Raw genomic sequence first — 18,252 nt, 5'->3', positions numbered from 1 at the left:
TCACATCAAAGAACCAGTCTGACAAAAATTTCACTTTTTAACTAGTTGTTTTGGTGTTAAATAAATGCAGCATAAGAGAATGCAAATAAATATTATGGAAACTCTCAGACTCAAATATTTATGTCACTTTTGTCAAATCACTTGCTTTCTTTGGGCCTCAGTTTCACTATCTATGTGAAACTGAAGGATATGTGATGTGAACAAGGTGATCTTGAAGGACCTTGAGCCATTATGGTCTGTATTTCTTTCTATAACTACACAATTTTATAAAATATTTCTTTTCATCCGTATCTTCTACATCTTCAAGTCCTTGAGGGTAAGGTGGGCAATGTGCCCTTACTTATTGGGGCATTCAAAAGCAAAATGTATGTTTCCTTTATTTACTTGCACTCAAAGGCTCATGCAACCTGCCACCTCTACCTTTGCTGTATCTTTATAGATTCATAGTCTCAGCATTGGAAAGGAACTGGCAGCTTTCATGTAGACACCCAAATAAAAAAGGACACATTGTTCATTTGGCTTGGAGGGTATGTAGATGTAGGAACTTGGGACTGGGAGGAGTCTTTTGACAAATTTATGAGAAATAGATTTATGTCCCATTGATCGGCTAAAGAATATGTGGAGCCCTGCAAGTCCTTTGTACTGTAAGAACAATAATATACATGCTGAATGCAGTTTAGACTAATTGATTTCCCAAAGGAAACTAGATTCAAAACATATTGAAAATTCCAGGAAGCAATAATTTAAAGGAAGTTATACAAGGTCTCAAAGTTACAGGAGATAAACAGGTGAGATTCCAAAGACAGGATTCTAGGGATGTCACTAGGAACCTCAGGGACATGCCCAGAAGGTTGAAAGCTAATCTGGGAGGAATCTAGGTCATAATATAAATGACTCAGAAACAATAATGAGAATTATGTTCAAAGGGGATCCTGTCTGGGGAGCAGAAGGGTACATGGTGTTTAGGTTGAAAAGCTGTATTTCAATATTGATTCGATTTCTGCAAGACTGATAAATTGAGATGCTTGGTTGGATGATTAAAAGAAGCTGTGGGCATTATTTCAGTCTGAAATAATGATGCACTGTCTTGCCTACAAGTAAGGGAACTGACAGGATGAACTTAGAAGGTTTCTTCCTGCTCTGTAGAATCTTTTATTCAAATGGACTCTGGGATCTAATGTGGGAGACCTGCAGTAAGTGGACAGTAGGACCTGAATAAAATCAGAGTGTTGAGTAGGATTTAAGGATTGAATGACAATAAATTGTTTGCCATTCTGGACATGCTGAATCTGATCTGGCTAACAGGATGAACTGAAATAGATACTGTACAGGAAGGTAAGAGGGAAAAATATGTTGAGAAAGGAACAGGCAAGACACTGCTGTAGCACATAGGCTAGATGAAAAAGTACCACTACGTGAATGTTTATGATTCAGAAATCCACCCACTAAAGAGCCATTCATTGTGAGCAGCAACAGTTAAGAAACTGTGCAGTTGGCCAATTCCATAGTCTATCAAATGAGAGAGAGAGAGAGAGAGAGAGAGAGAATGTACACATCACATATTATTAAATAAGAGCAAAGGTGATTACAGGTCTTGGCTGCACATTGATGGGATCTAGTGATTTTTGTCACGTAGTGCCTCTGCAGTAATGAATGATGCATTGTAAACCCACTCCCATCACAGTCTCTCTGGCCAGGTGCTCATAGCTTTCTAAACAGTTTTTCTGTAGCCCTGAATTTGCCATGTTCAACCTGAAAAAAATTTCTTTTCTTATGCCAATTTAGGGACTAGAAAGCTAAGCCCATTCAAGAAATGCTAATGTTTGTTAATGAAAGAAAATGTATTTTCTCCCTGGAACCTAAAATCTGCCATGTTGAGAATAAAGTTGAAAACTTTCCTATCTAAAGCCCTTCTATGCTAACACCGCAAGACAGTTCTGATTTCTATGGTAAATCCTTTCCGATACAGTATGACTCAACGTTGATTTCAAAGAAGAGTGGAGTGAGGAAGAGGAGATCCTGGCTCTTGTTTTCTCCCAGTCTCACGGGTTCAATGCTGTTTTGTACCCTACTGTGTAACGGCTCTTAGGTGTGTTGCTTTTTTCTATGCTCTGCTGTTATATACACTCCTACTCAGAATAACTGAAAGCAAACATAGGGGGAATTTCTGCTTTGGCTTTATATGTTTTCTTAGTTCTACTGTTCCAAAGTCTGCTCTCTAAAAATCCCTCTCTGTGCAAAAAGCATTTGCATCTCTATCAAAGCACTCCCCCCTTACAAATACCAAGTTGTATATAGTTTACATTACTAACCTCTCTGCCACTGACTGGGCCTCCCTCCTACCGCATACATCTTGTTGGAGCTGCCAGGTTCTCACCACATTTAACTCTTAACTTGTCACTTTGCTACCCTAGTCCTATTCATTACTTTAATGGTTTCATTAAGACTCATAGCAGTTTATTTCAAACCAGGGAGTCTTGCAGTTTTAAGACCTTGAATGTTAAAAGATATAGGTCTTTTAGTGATGAATGATACAGGGAAAATTTGTAATACCAAATGAATTCACATCTAATCCTGAGGAAAATTGTAAGAAGAAGCTGGTTGTTCATCTAAGAAGTAGGATTTTTTTTTTAAAAACTCAAATCCTTTTATATGACACAAGAAATTTAAGGTCTAGTCCTAATGGTAGCTCTACTTTGCTGCGTGGCTGTAGGCAAATGACCTCCGTTCTGGTCCTCAGTTTCTTCATCTGCAAAATAAAAGGAGGGTTTTTAAAGGCCTTTCTTGTCCAGATGCTCTAAATTTTATGTTGGGTTTGTTGGTTGCATTTCTCTGTTTCAAAAGTCTTTAAGGAAGAATTAGTGTCCTTTCCTTTAGGTTCTTTACTTCCTCACTACTCAACTCCTCAACTCTTAATAAATATCTTCAAATCTAAGTCACTCAGATCACTATCTAGACTGTTTCACAGCTAGAGAGACCTAAAAACAGAACACAAAGAGACAAATATATAGAATGTTATAGTAATGTCTTTGTATATGTTTGTTTAGAGGCAAGGAGAGCAAGACCAATATTTCATTGTGGATAAACGGCTAGCCTGTGCCTTATTTGTATTTATGAATGCAGCCGACTTTTTGGGAACATGATTTAACACCTGGTATATCCAAATTCATGTGATAACACATCATGATACAGTGAGGTTTTAATATTACCAGAAAAGCAACAATAGTTTCCATTTCAAAATAGATTTTCTGCTTAAGAGTTCAAGGTCTGTTTTCTGTTCATCCAACTTGGTTTGCAGCATGCAGAGGTGAAGAATGATAATTATAATTAGCTTCATGGAAGTGAGTGTGCAGTAAACCATTGCCCTAGGTCTTATCAAATGCCTATTGGCTAACTAGACGTGCTCACAGGTTCTCACTTTTGACAGAATCTCCATATGCCACACAGAGACATGTGCACACGTACCCAGGCACGGATACAGAGATTTCTAAATCACTGCTCTGACTCAATGTAAGTGGGGGGTTCTGCCGTGTCAGCTTGCGCCATGTCTACCCAGGGCAAGGTGATGTGATGAAATCTGAACGATGCACAGCCCAGACTTGTGAGCCAATAGCAGAGGCTAGCCCCATGCTGACAGGATGCCCGCTGGGCAGCCAGACTGGCCTTAGCACGGGCTCTCTCTCTGTCCTCAGCTTGGGTGGTTAGGCTGCGTTTTGAGGGGTTTAGGCAAGTACCAAAATGCATTTAAAGGTTAACAGGCTAGAAATTAAATTGACATTCGCCTAGAAAAATATTATTTTGAAGTCCTATTTGGATTTACACATTTCCAATGTGGATAGTTTTCTGCGAGAGCCGATTTATTTAAATATAATTTAAAGGGTTTTCATTTTATTTTATCCATGCGCTTGCGCGCGCGCGCCCAAGCGCGCGGCACACACACGCACACAGAGACAGCACAGGATGGCTGGAATGAATGGCAATCTGTGCATTGCATAGAAAGAATTCTGGGTTTTTAAAGAGCTAATTTCTATGGCTTACCTTGAGGAAATGGTTTATCCATGCTGAGAAAAGCAGAAGAACTAATGCCCCATCTGGCTCAAAGGATCTCTTCTCCTCAGTCTTTAGGTTTCTCCACCTCTCTTCGGAAAGTCTGAATGAAAACTCCTTCACTGGCAGGCAGTGGAGCCAGAAACAGAGATAGTTCTGTCTTGTTCTTTGACACAGCAGAGAAAACACAAAACAAAACAAAACAAAACAAAACAAAACAAAAAAACGGGGGAGGGGGCGAGTCAAACCTGTAGTGGCATATACTTTGTATAGATTTTACAGGCAGATCTAAATCTTGATGGACGTATTTCCCAAAGAAAGCTCAGCAGGGTAAGTTGTTCACCTCCTCCTCTTTCTCCTCCTCCTCCTCTCTCTCCTCCTCCTCCTCTCTCTCCTCCTCCTCCTCTTTCTCCTCCTCCTCTTCTTTCTCCTCCTCCTCCGCCTCTTTCTCCTCCCCCTTCTCCTCCTCCTCCTGTTTCTCTTCCCCCTCCCCCTCCAGTATTTTCCTTCCCCTCCTCTTGCCCTCCCCTTTCCCTCCTCCCCTTCTTCCTCCTTTACCTCCTCCCCCTCCTCTTTCGCCTCCGCCTCCGCCTCCACCTTGGTCTCCCTCTCCTCCAATCTGACAGATGAACCGAAGCAGCAGAAACTGCAGTTGTAGACACAGGGTATCTCAACGGAGCAATAGATACCGCCAGTGTGTGATTATTTATATGGCTCAGGGTGTGTTGGTATATAATCTGCAGTGGGGGCAGGGAGTGAGTTGGCAGTGTGTTCAGCTTAGCTAGCTGGCCGTTTTGTGAATGTAGATGATTTCTGGAGGTCTTGTGAATGGGTTATAGGGGAGGATGGGAAAGAAGGGATTTATTGCTCCTCGTTATAATTTCTTTCTCTCCCCCCTCCCCCCGCGTGTCGTTGGCTTTCCCGGAGCTGTAGCTCTTAATGCTTGGCGAAGTGGCGTCATCCAGATGAAATTGAATCGACCCATTAAAACTCCCCATAGGAATCTCTGTATCCGGTCCCTGGGTAATGACTGAAACAAAATTTAAAGGAACGTGGGGGTGGGGTGGAGAGTAACAATTTTAAGGAGGTCTCATTTAAATATCTTTGCCAATCACATTTCTACCAATCTACTCAGCCTGTGCCGAGTGATTGCAGCTTCAATAAGATGAAGAGAAAGAGCTTCTCCTTTGTTTAAGGGTTCCTCCCACCTCTTCCTCATGTGTTCCCACTTTTTCAGCCCATCCATTGCCACTGGGAAACCATTACCCAACCTACTTTCCCTTTAGCATGGCATGCATTCAACAACAAATATTTATTGAGTACCTTCCTTTGTGCTAGGTGTTGTGGATTCCTGCCTTCATGCAGCCTCCCTGGGACTGAAAATAAAGCAGCCTTGGACATTTTCTCTTAAAGCCAAGGACAAAGCTTTCTGTAAATTACCCTCAGTCCACTATTTAATTCAATAGGAAAGGATCTTTCTTCTGGGCATCCAGACAGAAGAACTTGGATGACAGCAGCTTTATATTTAAAATAAAGGAGATCTGATTTCAAGTCCTATTTCAATGGACAAGTGGCAGGAGCTTGGCCATCAGCATTCTTAGGATGCTTTGGTTACCTCATCTATAAAATTGAGATGGTAAATGGTGACAGTTCAGAGTAAAACAAACTGTGTGAGTCAGGAAACTGAGACTCTTAATCTTATTCTGACTCCTTGTGTGACCTTAGCAATTTTCTTCCCCTCTAGAGTGTCAATTTTTACATTAACATGAGGGGATCTGATTAGGTAATTGCTAACGTCCTTTCTACCTCTGACACTCTGTCATTTACCCTCTCTCAGATGTGTTAAGAAGACAAAAGAAATAATGAGATTTAAAAAAGTACGGCTGTGTGGGTCTGCATGCTCCTGTGTGTATGTATGTGTTTAAGGTGCTCCAAACAGTTGTGATGACATGTATGTAGGTATATGTGTGTGTGCATGCGTGCATGCCTGTGTATGTGCGTGTGTGTAATTTCTAAACAAATCCAGCTCTCTTTTCCCATTTGGAATTTCTAGTCAGGAAATCTCCTGTAAATTCTCTTTTGTGATTCACTGTAGGTTCATCTACACTTATTCAACAAATATTTATTGCACATTAACTATGTGTCAAGCACTGTACTAACTAGATTCAGGTCAAATAGATCAGGGTTCAAATTTTTGCTCCTCAACCTGGGAGCTACCTCCCTTGAGGCAATTCAATTAACCTCTCTGGCATATAGCAAGCACCCCATGAATAGTAGCTATGAATGTTAAGAAATTGTTCTTGCTCTAATGTAACCCATAGGAGAGGCAAGAGATGATTTCAATTTGAAGCCCTTTTATGTTTTAAAGTCTAGCTTTAAAGTTGAATAGCTGGGTTGCCTAATTCCTTTCCCTCCTTTACTCTGTGGGCCTATATTAAGGCAACAATGAAAACAATTGGGATTATTCAGCCTTCTTACCTCTTAGGATGATACCCATGACAAAAAAAGTTAAATTGATGATCATTCATTCATTCAACCATGCCTGCTATGGGCCACTCACTAAAGGCTAGTAATTCAACAGCTAGATTTCCTGCGCTCCTGGAATTGACATTCAAGTGGGCAGGGTGACATGTTTACTCTTTGCCAGGTGCTGTTCTATGAATTTTACATGTTTTAACCTATTTAATTCTCACAACAAACCTATGAGGCATATTAATGAATTATACTGATTTTTAAAATGAGAAACCAAGGTCCAAAGACCTTAAGTAACTTGTCCAAGGTTACACAGTTGGCAGTTTGCAGATCTAGGATTTTAACTCAGGCTGACTCAGGCTGTCTCACTCCAGAGCTTGTACTTTTAACCACTATACCACAGTATCCAACCATCTGCAAATCCCTTCAGGGATTTTTGTTCTAACTTTTAAAAATTATTTGGTAAATGCTATGGTCTGAATATTTGTGTCTCTCCAAAATTCCTGTGTTGAAACCTATCTACCAATATGATAATATTAGGAGGTGGGGCCTTTGGGAGGTGACTAAATAATGTATGTGGAGCCCTCATGAATGGGATTAGTTCTCTTATAAAAGAGGCCCCGAAGACCTGCCTTGGCACTTCCATCATGTGAGGACACAGTGAGAAGGTGCTGTCTATGAGGAAGTCGGACTCCCCCAGACACTGGTAACACCTTAATCTTGGACTTCCCAGCCTTTACAACTGTAAGAAATACATTTCTGTTGTTTATAAGTTATCTAGTCAAAGGTATTTTGTTACAGTAGCCCAATAAGACTAAGATAATATTCCTGAATATCCTATAGGCCTAGCAGTCACTTATTGCAGGAAAAGCCTTGCCTAATCACCTCTCTCTTCAAAAGACCAGTTTAGAACAGATTTGTCCTCTTCTTTGTGCTCCAGAGGCCCCCTTTGTGCTTACCATCATTGCAGAACTTATCACACTTTATTATAATTGTCTGTCTCCCAATTTAGACAGTGATCTCTTTGAGGGCAGATATAATATTTATTATATTTGTCTTCACTGCCACATCCCCAAGGCCTAGCATACTGATCACTAAATTAATACTTATTGAATGAATGGATAACCAATTTTTGGAAATCTACATGAATATCTTTATTTGTTCTTTAAGCTGTTTTGTTTCTAAAAGACAACTCGAAGTTCCGTGATTTTTGATAGGCTATCACTATAGTACAATTATATACAGAAATTTGATGTTGAGACATTACAAAACTCACTATGTATTGCCAGACAACTTCTTTTACAAACTTGTTAGATTGTTGTAGCAGTGCACTTCAGAAAATTTGTTTTCTTAGCTCCTTAGTTAATGGTGTACTCTTCAGAAAACATATTTTGACAGATTCATTGAGTTGTCCAAGATCATACAGCTAGTAAGTGGCAGCATTGGGCCTAGTAGTGAACACAGGTCTCCTGTTTCCCAATCCAATGCCTTCTTTCTCTTTTTAAGGCACCTTGCTGACATTAATTCAATTCCAGTTGAATTTGGATATATTGTCTCAGCACAGATCAACACATCTATTTCTGAAAGCCATTGATTTTCAATAAATAAATAAGTAACCTTGAAGGACACCAGAAAAGTCACCCTGCCTTGGAAATATCTTCTTTACTAAGTCTGTTTTAGAAACCTCTGAGTTATGATTTTGTAATGAATAAAATACACCTTTCCATGCTTTGTAGTAACCGGTTGTTCAGATCATTTCTGATATGACAGTTAACTCAAAAACATATTGAAAGAAGGGAGAGTATATCTAACAGAGCATACTGAAAAAGAGACTAGGGCATGGGTGAAAGTGATGAAGGAGTTACAAATGTTGAAATAAATTAGATAGGTAAGGATTCAAAGAGGAATTGAGATCTGGGCAGAAAATGAATAACCATATATAATTCACATGAAGGAATTCACATGGAAATCTGGATTGGTAGCAATGTGCATGGAGTCTGCAAAGAGTGAAACATTCAAACTGTCTTATGTAAGAGGTATATTGAAGAGAGGATTGGAATATATAGTGCTGGAGAATAACTCGAATGACAGGCAATTTAGACTTAATGCTCTGGGAATTAGAAATAAATTTTAGAACAAAGGAATAAAATATGAAAATAAGCCACATTTAAGAAAGATACACTGGGCATGATATATAGGAGTGGGGAGATACTAGAGTCAGGTCAGCCAAATTGGGGTATTTTGGAGTAATCTAAACAGAAGATGATAAGGGCCTGGTTAGGGAATTGACAGTGAGAATGGGAAGTAAGGATGAGATGTTTTCAGTTGAATATGATACCATTGCATACTGAGAAGTTGGAAGGGGGAGGTCAGTTTAAAGGAATAAATATATGATATTAGAGTTGTAAAGAACTTTGGCTGGGGTATGATTAATCCTGTCACCCAGGTAGTAAGCAGGCTACCCAATTGCCATCTTTATGTCCCTGAGTACCCAATGTTAAGCTCCCACTTATAAGTGAGAACATGAGGGGTTTTTTTTTGTTGTTCCTGTATTATTTCACTTAGGAAAATGGCCTCCAGCTGCATCCATGTTGCAGCGAAGAACATGATTTTGTTCTTTTTTGTGGCTGCATAGTATTCCATGGTGTACCATATTTTCTTTATCCAATCCACTGCTGATGGGCACCCAGGTTGATTGATTCCATGTCTTTGCCATTGTGAATAGTGCTGCAAAGAACATATGAGTGCATGTGTCTTTCTGGTAGAATGATTTATTTTCCTTTGGATATATACCCAATATTAGGATTGCTGGGTTGAATGGTGGTTCTGTTTTAAGTTTTTTTTGAGAAACCTCCAAACTGCTTTCTACAGTGGTTGAACTAATTTATATTTATATTCCCACCAACAGTGTATAAGCATACTCTTTTATCTGCAGCCTTGCCAACATCTGTTGATTTTTGACTTCTTAATAATAGCCATTCGGACTGGTGTGAGACCAACCTCAATTATAAAATTGTATTCAAAACCACAAGCTACCTGCTCATCCTGATTTCTCTTTTATTTGAGATGACATCACAAATGCTTTAGTTACACAAGTTTGAAGCTTTAGCATCTATTTAACCTTTCTCTCTGTTAGCCTCCACTCATAAATGAATCAGGTATTATTGTTTCTGCCTCCAAATAGTCCAAAGACTACATCAAATATTATTTTCTCTACAATATAATTCATTGTCTCATCATCCAGAAATACCTCTGAACTCTCATGACAATGTAGTTATACTTCTCTTACGGTATTTATCACTTTTTAATTTGTACTGTAGTAACTTATGTATATGTCTTATCTTTCCAACTAGAATTAGCTCCTTGAAGATTCATATATGACCCCTTCAAAGTACTGTTTACTGTGATTTTCATAAGATAAACTCTTGTTGAGAAAAACCAGGAAATACCAAGTTAGTGGCAGAGCCAGGAGTAGAATCCAAGTCTCCTGACACTTGGTCTAGTATTCCTTTCACTATACCATAAATAGGGAAGATAATGAGATCTTTGAGTTATTCTTTAGAAGTGTTGAATTTGAGGTAAAGATGAGACATTTTCAAGTAGGAATATTTGGTACAAAGTTAGAGATATGGTACTAGAATTTAAGTGACAAGACAGGAGAGGAACTTGAGGAATTTTAAGGCTTGTTAACACGAAAGAGATCATTGGAGTTTTGAAAATGGATGAAATTGCTGAGGTAGAGGAAAGGGAGAGTGAAAAGGACTGTGTTACCATGTGGAACAGTTAGAGAGCAAAAGGATAAAGAAGAATCATATAGCCAACAAACATATGAAAAAATGCTCCATATCACTAATCAGAAAAATGCAAATCAAAACCACAATGAGATACCATCTCACACCAGTCAGAATGGCTACTATTAAAAAGTAAAAAAAAAAAAAAAATAGGTGCTGGCAAGGCTGCAGAGAAAAGGGAACACTTATGCACTGTTGTTGAGAATGTAAATTAGTTCAACTACTTTGGAAAGCAGTTTGGAGATTTCTCAAAAAGCTTAAAATAGAACTACCATTCGACCCAGCAATCCCACTATTGGGTATATAACCAAAGGAAAATAAATAGTTCTACCAAAAAGACACATGCATGTGCCTGTTCATCACAGTACTATTCACAATAGCAAAGACATGGAATCAACCTAGGTGCCCATCAGTGGTAGACTGGATAAAGAAAATAAGGCACATATACACCATGGAATACTATGCAGCCATGAAAAAGAACAAATTCTGTTTTTTTTGAATCTAAAATGAAATTGAAATTAAAATAAGAAGAATCAGTGAAGAAACAAGAGAAGGAGTAAGCAGATGTTAGAAAGGAATCAGGATACACATTGTCACAGAAGAGCAGAGAGAGTTTCAATAAAGATGGGGTAGTCAAAATGGGCTAATAGTGAAGAGAAATTAGGATAGGTAATTTAAAGTATTCAATGAATTTAGCCCCATAGGGTATTGGTGACTTATTGAAAATGGTTTTGGTGGTGGGGTAAAATGTCAAATCTCAGTATGTTGAGAGGAAACTAAAAAATCATGGCAGAGTTATAAGATTTCAACACAGGATAACCCAGTGGATTTTCAAGTGAAAGGAAGGAGTCAATGGGAAAAAATAAATGAAGAAGGAAGTTTAAAAGCATTCAATATTAGAGACAAATTCCAGGAAAATGTATAAGGATTGACATTTTGGACCAAATCATGGCATGTACTTTAAAGCATGGGTCCCCAGCCCGCAGACCATGGACCGGTAGGGGTCGGCGGCCTGTTAGGAACCAGGCCACACAGCAAGAGGTGAGTGGCCCCTGAGGGAGCATGACTACCTGAGCTCCACCTCCTGTCAAATCAGCAGTGGCATTAGATTTTCATAGGAGCGTGAACCCTATTGTGAGCTGCACAGGAGAGGGGTCTAAGCTGCATGCTCCTTATGAGAATCTAACTAATGCCTGACAATCTGAGGCGGAAAAGTTTCATCTCCAAACCATCCCCTCCTACCACCACCGTGGTGGAAAAATTGTCTTCCACAAAACCGGTCCCTGGTGCCAAAAAGTTTAGGGATCTCTGCTTTAGAGTCAAAGAAAGACACAAACTTTGTCGCTGTTACAGTTTTACCTGGAATTATCTCTGCTGAAAAAGGATCTAAGCACCTGAAACCTGGTTAAGAATCTGCCAACTGAGTCCCCCTAAGTTTAATGTACTTCAAGGTTCAAATAAATAGTAACTATAGAAAACAATTCCAAAGCTAAGCCAATCCTTATGCTAAGGCCTTGGAAGTCAGACCTGGGCTTACAACCAGTTCCATAAATTAGTTTTGTGATACTTGGTTAACTTACTTAAGCCTCTGAGCCTCAGTTTCTTCATTTGTAAAATAGGGACAATAAAGTCTTTGTTGAAAACAGAATGACTTGAGATAATGTAAGTAATAAGTAATATAGGCACTCAACAAATGGTAGGCATTACTATTATTTTCTGAGAGATTACTACTCTATTCCAGTGTGCATCAAAATGGCTCTGCCCTCAAGGGGCTCATTGGCTTGTGGAAAAGTCAAACACATTAAAACCAGTGATTACAATAGATGTAGAACATAATATTCATTATATTTGAAGAAAGCACATAAAGTTTAGGGATACAGATGAGAGATAAAGACAAGAGAAATCAAACTCTATCTGAAGAAGTCAAGGAAGGCTTCCTGGAGGAAGTATTTTTTTCAATTGAGTCATAGAGGATGTACTTAACTGTTGTCAGAGCATGTACTGCACTATATTTAAATGGCTTACTTACTTCTCTGTGTTTCCCAATAGACTTGGGACAGAAGTCCTCTGTGTGTGTTGAATGGAGGAATAAAGGAATTAGTAAATAAATTCACCTGGTAAACATACTTCTATTTTTGCCGTCATCATATGGTAATATAATTTACATGATTCCATGCCTATTTCCTTTACTAAATTAGGAGCTCCTTGATTCATTCAACAATCAGCAAACATATATTGAGGGACAGCTTTGTACCAGGCTCTGGTGATACAGTAATAAATTAAGATACAATAATAAATGAATTTGTTACATGTTATTAATATAGATATATATATAGCGATATGTTATTAGTTAATATATAATTAATAAATGAATCCCTGTTTTCAAGGGGCTCATAATTTAGTAGGAAAGCTAGCCAATAGACAAATGTAACAAAGGGTGACATGTGTTTTGGAAAGGAGCAGAGAGGAAATATACCTAATGCAGTAATTGAGGAGATTATAAAATGCTTACAAGAAAAAGTGATATTTAAATATAAATTTGGCCAGGTGTGATGGTTTATGCCTGTAATCCCAGCATTTTGGGAGGTCGAGGTGGGTGGATCACTTGAGGTCAGGAGTTTGAGACCAGCCTGGCCAACATGGCAAAACCCAGTCTCTACTAAAAATACAAAAATTAGCCGGGCGTGATGGTGGGCGCTTGTAATCCCAGCTACTCGGGAGGCAGAGGTTGCAGTGAGATTGTGCCACTGCACTCCAGCCTGGGCAACAGTGTAAGAGTCAAAAAAAAAAAAAAGAATTAATAAGATCCATTGAGAGCAGAGAAACGGCATGCACAAAGATATAAAGATGTCAAAACAACATGTTTCTAAACCATTCTAAGAGGGTCCCTTACACTCAGCTTGAGCAAATTAGAAGCAGAAATTTTCTCTAGAAGGCTACACATTGCATGACTTATTTATATTCCTAGAATGTACTAAACTTATTTAGGTTTTTACTAAATTGTAGCAAGTGGAAATAGATTAGACATAAAGAACCAACTTTATGTGATAGTCCAATATAGTGTCAAAAGTAATCATTATCAGGAACTTCATCCATAAACCCAATCAATTCTCTCTTATAACTCATTTTGTCATGTTTTGTTTTTATAAAACACATGCTTCCACACAAATTCTGAAAGTCTTTCCTCATTCTCTTTCTCCCAGGACACATCCCAAATCCATTTGAGAGCCTGAAAGTTCCTATAGGAGGCCAGCTCTATCCATATTCTATTGAAGTCAGCAGGAGCTCTTTAGAAGTGCCAGATAAAAAGCTGATCTGTGGACATCCTGATTCAGCAGTGGTGACACCAGCATTGTAAGCAATGCCAAGGGAACATAGATTCTTAACTGAAAAGCCTATGGGGATGGAGATAATTATTTCTTTGCCACAGAAGCTGACAAATAGTTTAGGAGCAATGTTACCAATAATGGAAGTGTGTGAGGGAGGGACAAAGTGGTTCTATGTAGAGAAAACTGGACTTACCTGCTGTGTGGCTTTAGCAAGTCATTCTTCATCTCTAGGCCCTATTTTCCTTATCTGTGACACAGTAAGTTTGAATATAAAACAAACATATATGGAGTACATACTTAAGGTAAGGCAATATACTTGATATGTGAGATACGGAAATGAATGTGACATGGTATGCCATGTAGTAGGTTATCAATACATATTGGTTGAACGAATAAATGAATCGTTTCATCCTCTCATTACTCACAGTCTGCTAAAACAAATGGATAGAAGAACAGAGGGGTTAAATAATGATGGGCTAGCCAAAATGGCCTAATACTGAAGAGAAATACAGTTATATAAACACATAAACTGCAATAGAATCTGTCAATAAGTCAAGTCAGAGATGACTGTGGCCTGAATCATTGTAGGGACTGTGTGGATGAAGAAAAGTTGTTCCATTTACTGAGATGTGGAGGAAATATATACTTGTTTATCCAATCCACTGCTGATGGGCACCCATCTCATGTGACCACTCTGTTGGAATTACTAGTAAATTTGGTGGAGGTGCGTGTTTCTTTTTAGAGTGTGATTCTCAGGCAGGGCTGCACATCAGAATTATATATGGAACTTTATCAAGCTACATACTCCTAAACCTTGCCTCCAGAGATTTTTTGTTCAGAGATCTTGAGTGAGACCCAGAGAAGCTGCATTTTCAAAAAGTCCCAAATGATCCTTGGATGTATCATGCAGAAAGCATGATACATCCATCACCTCCAGACCATTACAAGCATTATTCTCCTTGCCTGGGGTGATGGAAAATACCAAATCTACATCTCTGGCTCAGACCTCTAGCTGAACTCTAGACCCACATATCCAACTACCTATCAGACAGCTGTACTCGTTATCTTCCTTTCTCCATCAAACATGACAAAGGGTGAGGAGAATTGCTATTTTATATATGATGGTTATGGAAAGTCTCCCTCACTAAGTGACATTTGAGGTGAGTCTCAAAGTGAGGGAGCAAGCCATCCAGCTATATGGGGAAGGCTTCTCCCACAGAGAGGAAACAGTAAATGCAAATCCCTGAGGCCAGAATGTACTTGATGTGTTCTAGGAGGAGCAAAGAGATCAGCACGCCTATGCCTAGAGTGGGAAGGGTGAGGGAAGATTAGTAGTAAATGAAACCAGAGAGGTATCAGAGGGTTACATCACGTGGAGTCTTGCAGACCATGTTAAATATTTTGCATTTTACTCAGGGTGAGCTGAGAAGATATTGTAGGGTTTTGTGCAGAGGAATGACAGAATATGACTTGTGATTTTAAAAAGATCTCTCTGGCTGCCCTGTAGAGTATATATTCAGAAGAGGGGTTTATGTTGGAAGCAGGAAAACAATTAGGGAGCTATCGCAACTGTCTAGATGAGAGAGTGGTAATAGTGGAAGTGATGAATTAAAGTTAGAAGTTAGAATTCTAGTTATATTTTGTTCCATCAAAATACCCATTTTCTAGTTTTTTTTTCTCATTCAGTGAAAGGCATCACCTATATTTTCCCAACACAACATATGTTGTTTGTATTTGTGTGTGTATGTATCTAAATGTACCTGTAAGTCTCTGTGTCTTGTAAAGGAGCAGTAGATGGCATTGTACCTATGAACACAATTATATTTATTCCTGTTGGAAAAGGAAAACTTTCTCCTCATTTCCATCCTCCTCCACATGCATTCTGTTTTTGATGGCTCAAATCATGAATTCTCTGTCTTTTCCTAATGTATCCTAACCTGAGCCTATCTGCATGCCCTATGTGAGTTCCCTAAGTCACACAAGCATGACATCTGCATAGAGAACTTACCTCTATGACACCTATCGGATGCTTCAAATATATCTTTATATATGGCCTGTCATACTTCTGACTAGGTCCCTGTGTCTACAGTGGTATGCCAGATGTGTACCATGGATGTGGTGAATATTGCATTAAGCACCTGGCCACATGGTGTTTAGATTCCTGTATTAACTTAGCAGGATACTTCCCTGCTCCACATACACACCAACATATACTTCACTTTTCTCAGCTGTATAAATTATTTTCTCATTAATCAGAAGTTTTAAAACTTAGGAATGGGACAAGGAGACAAAGTGGGGCAAGTCCTTGTGAATGTCAGAAACTCTGAGGTAGCTGATATGACCATTTTCCACTCTCCTCTATAAGGGAGGCCAGCATGCTGCAGGTGACAACAGTGCAGAGGATTGCTTTCAGTTCTGGGAGCAGTTTATTTTCAGAACTGACATCCTACCCAGTACTAAATATAGCCAATCTCTTCCTTTCAAACAAGGGTTTCTTTTCTGTTAAACTTCAATAAAGTTCTTAGCTCTGTATTACAAGGTCTCCCCCAACCATCCTACCTTCATGAACTTTATTCTTGTTATACTTTCTCTCCCCAGCCACCTACTTTCCTCTCCCTGGCCTCTTTGGTTTCTCCTCCTTCTAACTTTCTTCTCCTTTCTATTTGTCTTCTCTGCTTTCTTGGAGTCTTTCACTGTCTCCCTCTGGCACTTTCTTCTTCATGCCCCCAACTTTTAAAAAGGGAATCCCTTAGGAACACTCTCTCCAACAAGCCAAGGAAAAGCAGATGCCCAAAGGCTAAAAATAAGATGCTTTGTTTGCTTATTTTAAAATCTTCCCAGGCTGGAGACAGATCTCCTTATATGCCAACTGGTTGACATGTAATATTAATGACATCCTTGCATTTATTGAGCATTTACAGTGTATTGTTTCAGGTATTTTATATACATAATCTCACAAAAATCCTCTAAGGAAGGTGCCAAAATAACCCACATTTTAGAATAGGGCAACTGAGGCCAAGAGAGGTAAAGGTATGTTTTAGGCAAAACAGCAAATATATAGCATAAATGAGATTTGAACCCAAGCAGTTTAACTCCAGAGCCCATACCCTCAACTCCCATGCCACACTACTTCTCTACATTAGGGTTAATGTCTATTGTATGCCTTCTAAATAAAGAGGGAGTAGTTACAGGGGAAGGAAGACTGAAGATTGGGAAGCATCTAAAATAGCTCTGAGCTGATAAAGAAGATTAACTTTTGCTTTTAATAAAGTAAAATGCGAAGCAATTTAAAGACATTGGGGTAAAAGATTAAACTGGGATGTGTTCACTTTCACTTTTTACTGCAAGTTTTGACTAAGAATTCTGAGATTTAGGCACTAGTAATCTCATTACTCTCCAGTTAGACTTTTTACTTATTTTTTCCACTGCTGTTACCCAACAGCCTACAGGGTGTGTGTGTGTGTGTGCACGCACGTGTGAGTATGCACACAAAATTATTTTTGCAATTATATATATCTATTTGTAACAAACTTCCATAGCAAATTCCCTATTTAAAATACACACACACACACACAAGTTCAGCTACATGGCAATATACAAGATTAATCAATATACAAAAGTAAGTTGTATATCTATACACTAGCAATGAACAACCTGAAAATGCAATTAAGAAAACAACTCCATTTACAATAGCATCTAAAAGAATAAAATAAGAATACATTTAACAAAAAAATACAAGACATACACTGAAAACCACAGAACATTGTTGAAAGAAGTTAAAGCAGACCTATATAAATGGAAAGACACTCCATATTCGTAGATTGAAAGATTTAATATTGTTAAGATAGAAATACTCTCCAAAGTGATCTACAGAAAACATAATCCCTATCAAAGTCCCAGCCAGATTTTTTTGCAAAAATTCATGAATGAACCCTAAAATTCATATGGAAATGCAAGGGGTACAGAATAGTCAAAACAATCTTGAAAAGGAAGAACAAAATAAAAGTATTAAATCTTTCTGACTTCAAAGCTTACTACAATACTACAGTAATCAAGATGGTATAGTACTGGAATAAGGATATACATATAGTCAAATGTAATATAATTGAGAGTCCAGAAATAAAACCTTACGTTTATGATCCATTGATTTTCTACAAGGGAGTCAGCACAATTTAATGGAGAAAGAATAATCTCTTCAACAAATGGTGCTGCAACAACTGAATAGCCACATGCAAAAGAATGAAGTTGGACTCCTACTTCAAATCATATGCTGTACAAAAAATTAACTCAAAATCATAGACATAAATGTATGAGCCAAAACTACAAAACTCTTAGAATAAAACATAGGAGTAAATATTTGTGACCTTGGATTAGGCATAGTATTCCTAGACGCAACAAGAAAAGCACAAGTGACAAAAGAAGAAATAGATAAATTACGTTTCTTCAAAATCAAAACCTTTTTTTCCTGCCAAAAATATAATCAATAATGTGAAAATGCAACCCACAGAATAGGAGAAAATGTTTACCAGTCATATATCTGATAAGGAACTTGTATCCACAATAGATAAAGATCTTCAACTCAACAACTAAAACAAAGAAACAAATGGAAAAAT

General features: G+C 38.4%; 1 protein-coding gene across 5 annotated transcripts in view, besides 5 other annotated features; it reads right to left on the bottom strand.

Annotated features, from left to right (window-relative positions):
* SPRY3 (sprouty RTK signaling antagonist 3) overlaps positions 1–18,252 on the bottom strand; it is a 169,874-nt gene that overhangs the window by 10,285 nt on the left and 141,337 nt on the right. For 3 of the 5 annotated variants that reach the window (NM_001394353.1, NM_001394354.1, NM_001304990.2), the window contains one exon: positions 4,039–4,213. The gene's annotated coding sequence lies outside the window, so the exon portion shown is untranslated. Of the gene's footprint in view, positions 1–2,312; positions 2,750–4,038; positions 4,380–18,252 lie in introns of those variants that run through there. The other 2 variants (NM_001394355.1, NM_005840.4) reach the window with 2 other exon arrangements.
* Positions 2,515–7,317: a meiotic recombination region, noted in NCBI's record as "meiotic double-strand break mapped by DNA meiotic recombinase 1 chromatin immunoprecipitation followed by single-stranded DNA enrichment and sequencing in the germ cells of some male individuals with the PRDM9 A/A, PRDM9 A/B and PRDM9 A/C genotypes". NCBI's record gives the evidence for it as "EXISTENCE:chromatin immunoprecipitation-seq evidence [ECO:0000229][PMID:25395542]".
* Positions 3,868–5,667: a meiotic recombination region, noted in NCBI's record as "crossovers mapped in sperm cells of males of European and African ancestries; recombination frequencies vary with PRDM9 genotypes, with higher recombination frequencies in individuals with the PRDM9 A allele, and little recombination in some individuals with other PRDM9 alleles". NCBI's record gives the evidence for it as "EXISTENCE:DNA detection assay evidence [ECO:0005519][PMID:20818382]".
* Positions 4,501–4,513: a nucleotide motif, noted in NCBI's record as "nucleotide motif; similarity to the predicted 13-mer PRDM9 A binding motif (LD hotspot motif), CCNCCNTNNCCNC, found near the center of the hotspot". NCBI's record gives the evidence for it as "COORDINATES:motif similarity evidence [ECO:0000028][PMID:20818382, PMID:19165926]".
* Positions 4,596–4,608: a nucleotide motif, noted in NCBI's record as "nucleotide motif; similarity to the predicted 13-mer PRDM9 A binding motif (LD hotspot motif), CCNCCNTNNCCNC, found near the center of the hotspot". NCBI's record gives the evidence for it as "COORDINATES:motif similarity evidence [ECO:0000028][PMID:20818382, PMID:19165926]".
* Positions 4,939–4,951: a nucleotide motif, noted in NCBI's record as "nucleotide motif; similarity to the predicted 13-mer PRDM9 A binding motif (LD hotspot motif), CCNCCNTNNCCNC, found near the center of the hotspot". NCBI's record gives the evidence for it as "COORDINATES:motif similarity evidence [ECO:0000028][PMID:20818382, PMID:19165926]".

This window comes from Homo sapiens, chromosome X (assembly GCF_000001405.40).
Source record: "Homo sapiens chromosome X, GRCh38.p14 Primary Assembly".
Taxonomy (NCBI): Eukaryota; Metazoa; Chordata; class Mammalia; order Primates; family Hominidae; genus Homo; species Homo sapiens.
This window is presented reverse-complemented; position numbering and strand designations above follow the sequence as displayed.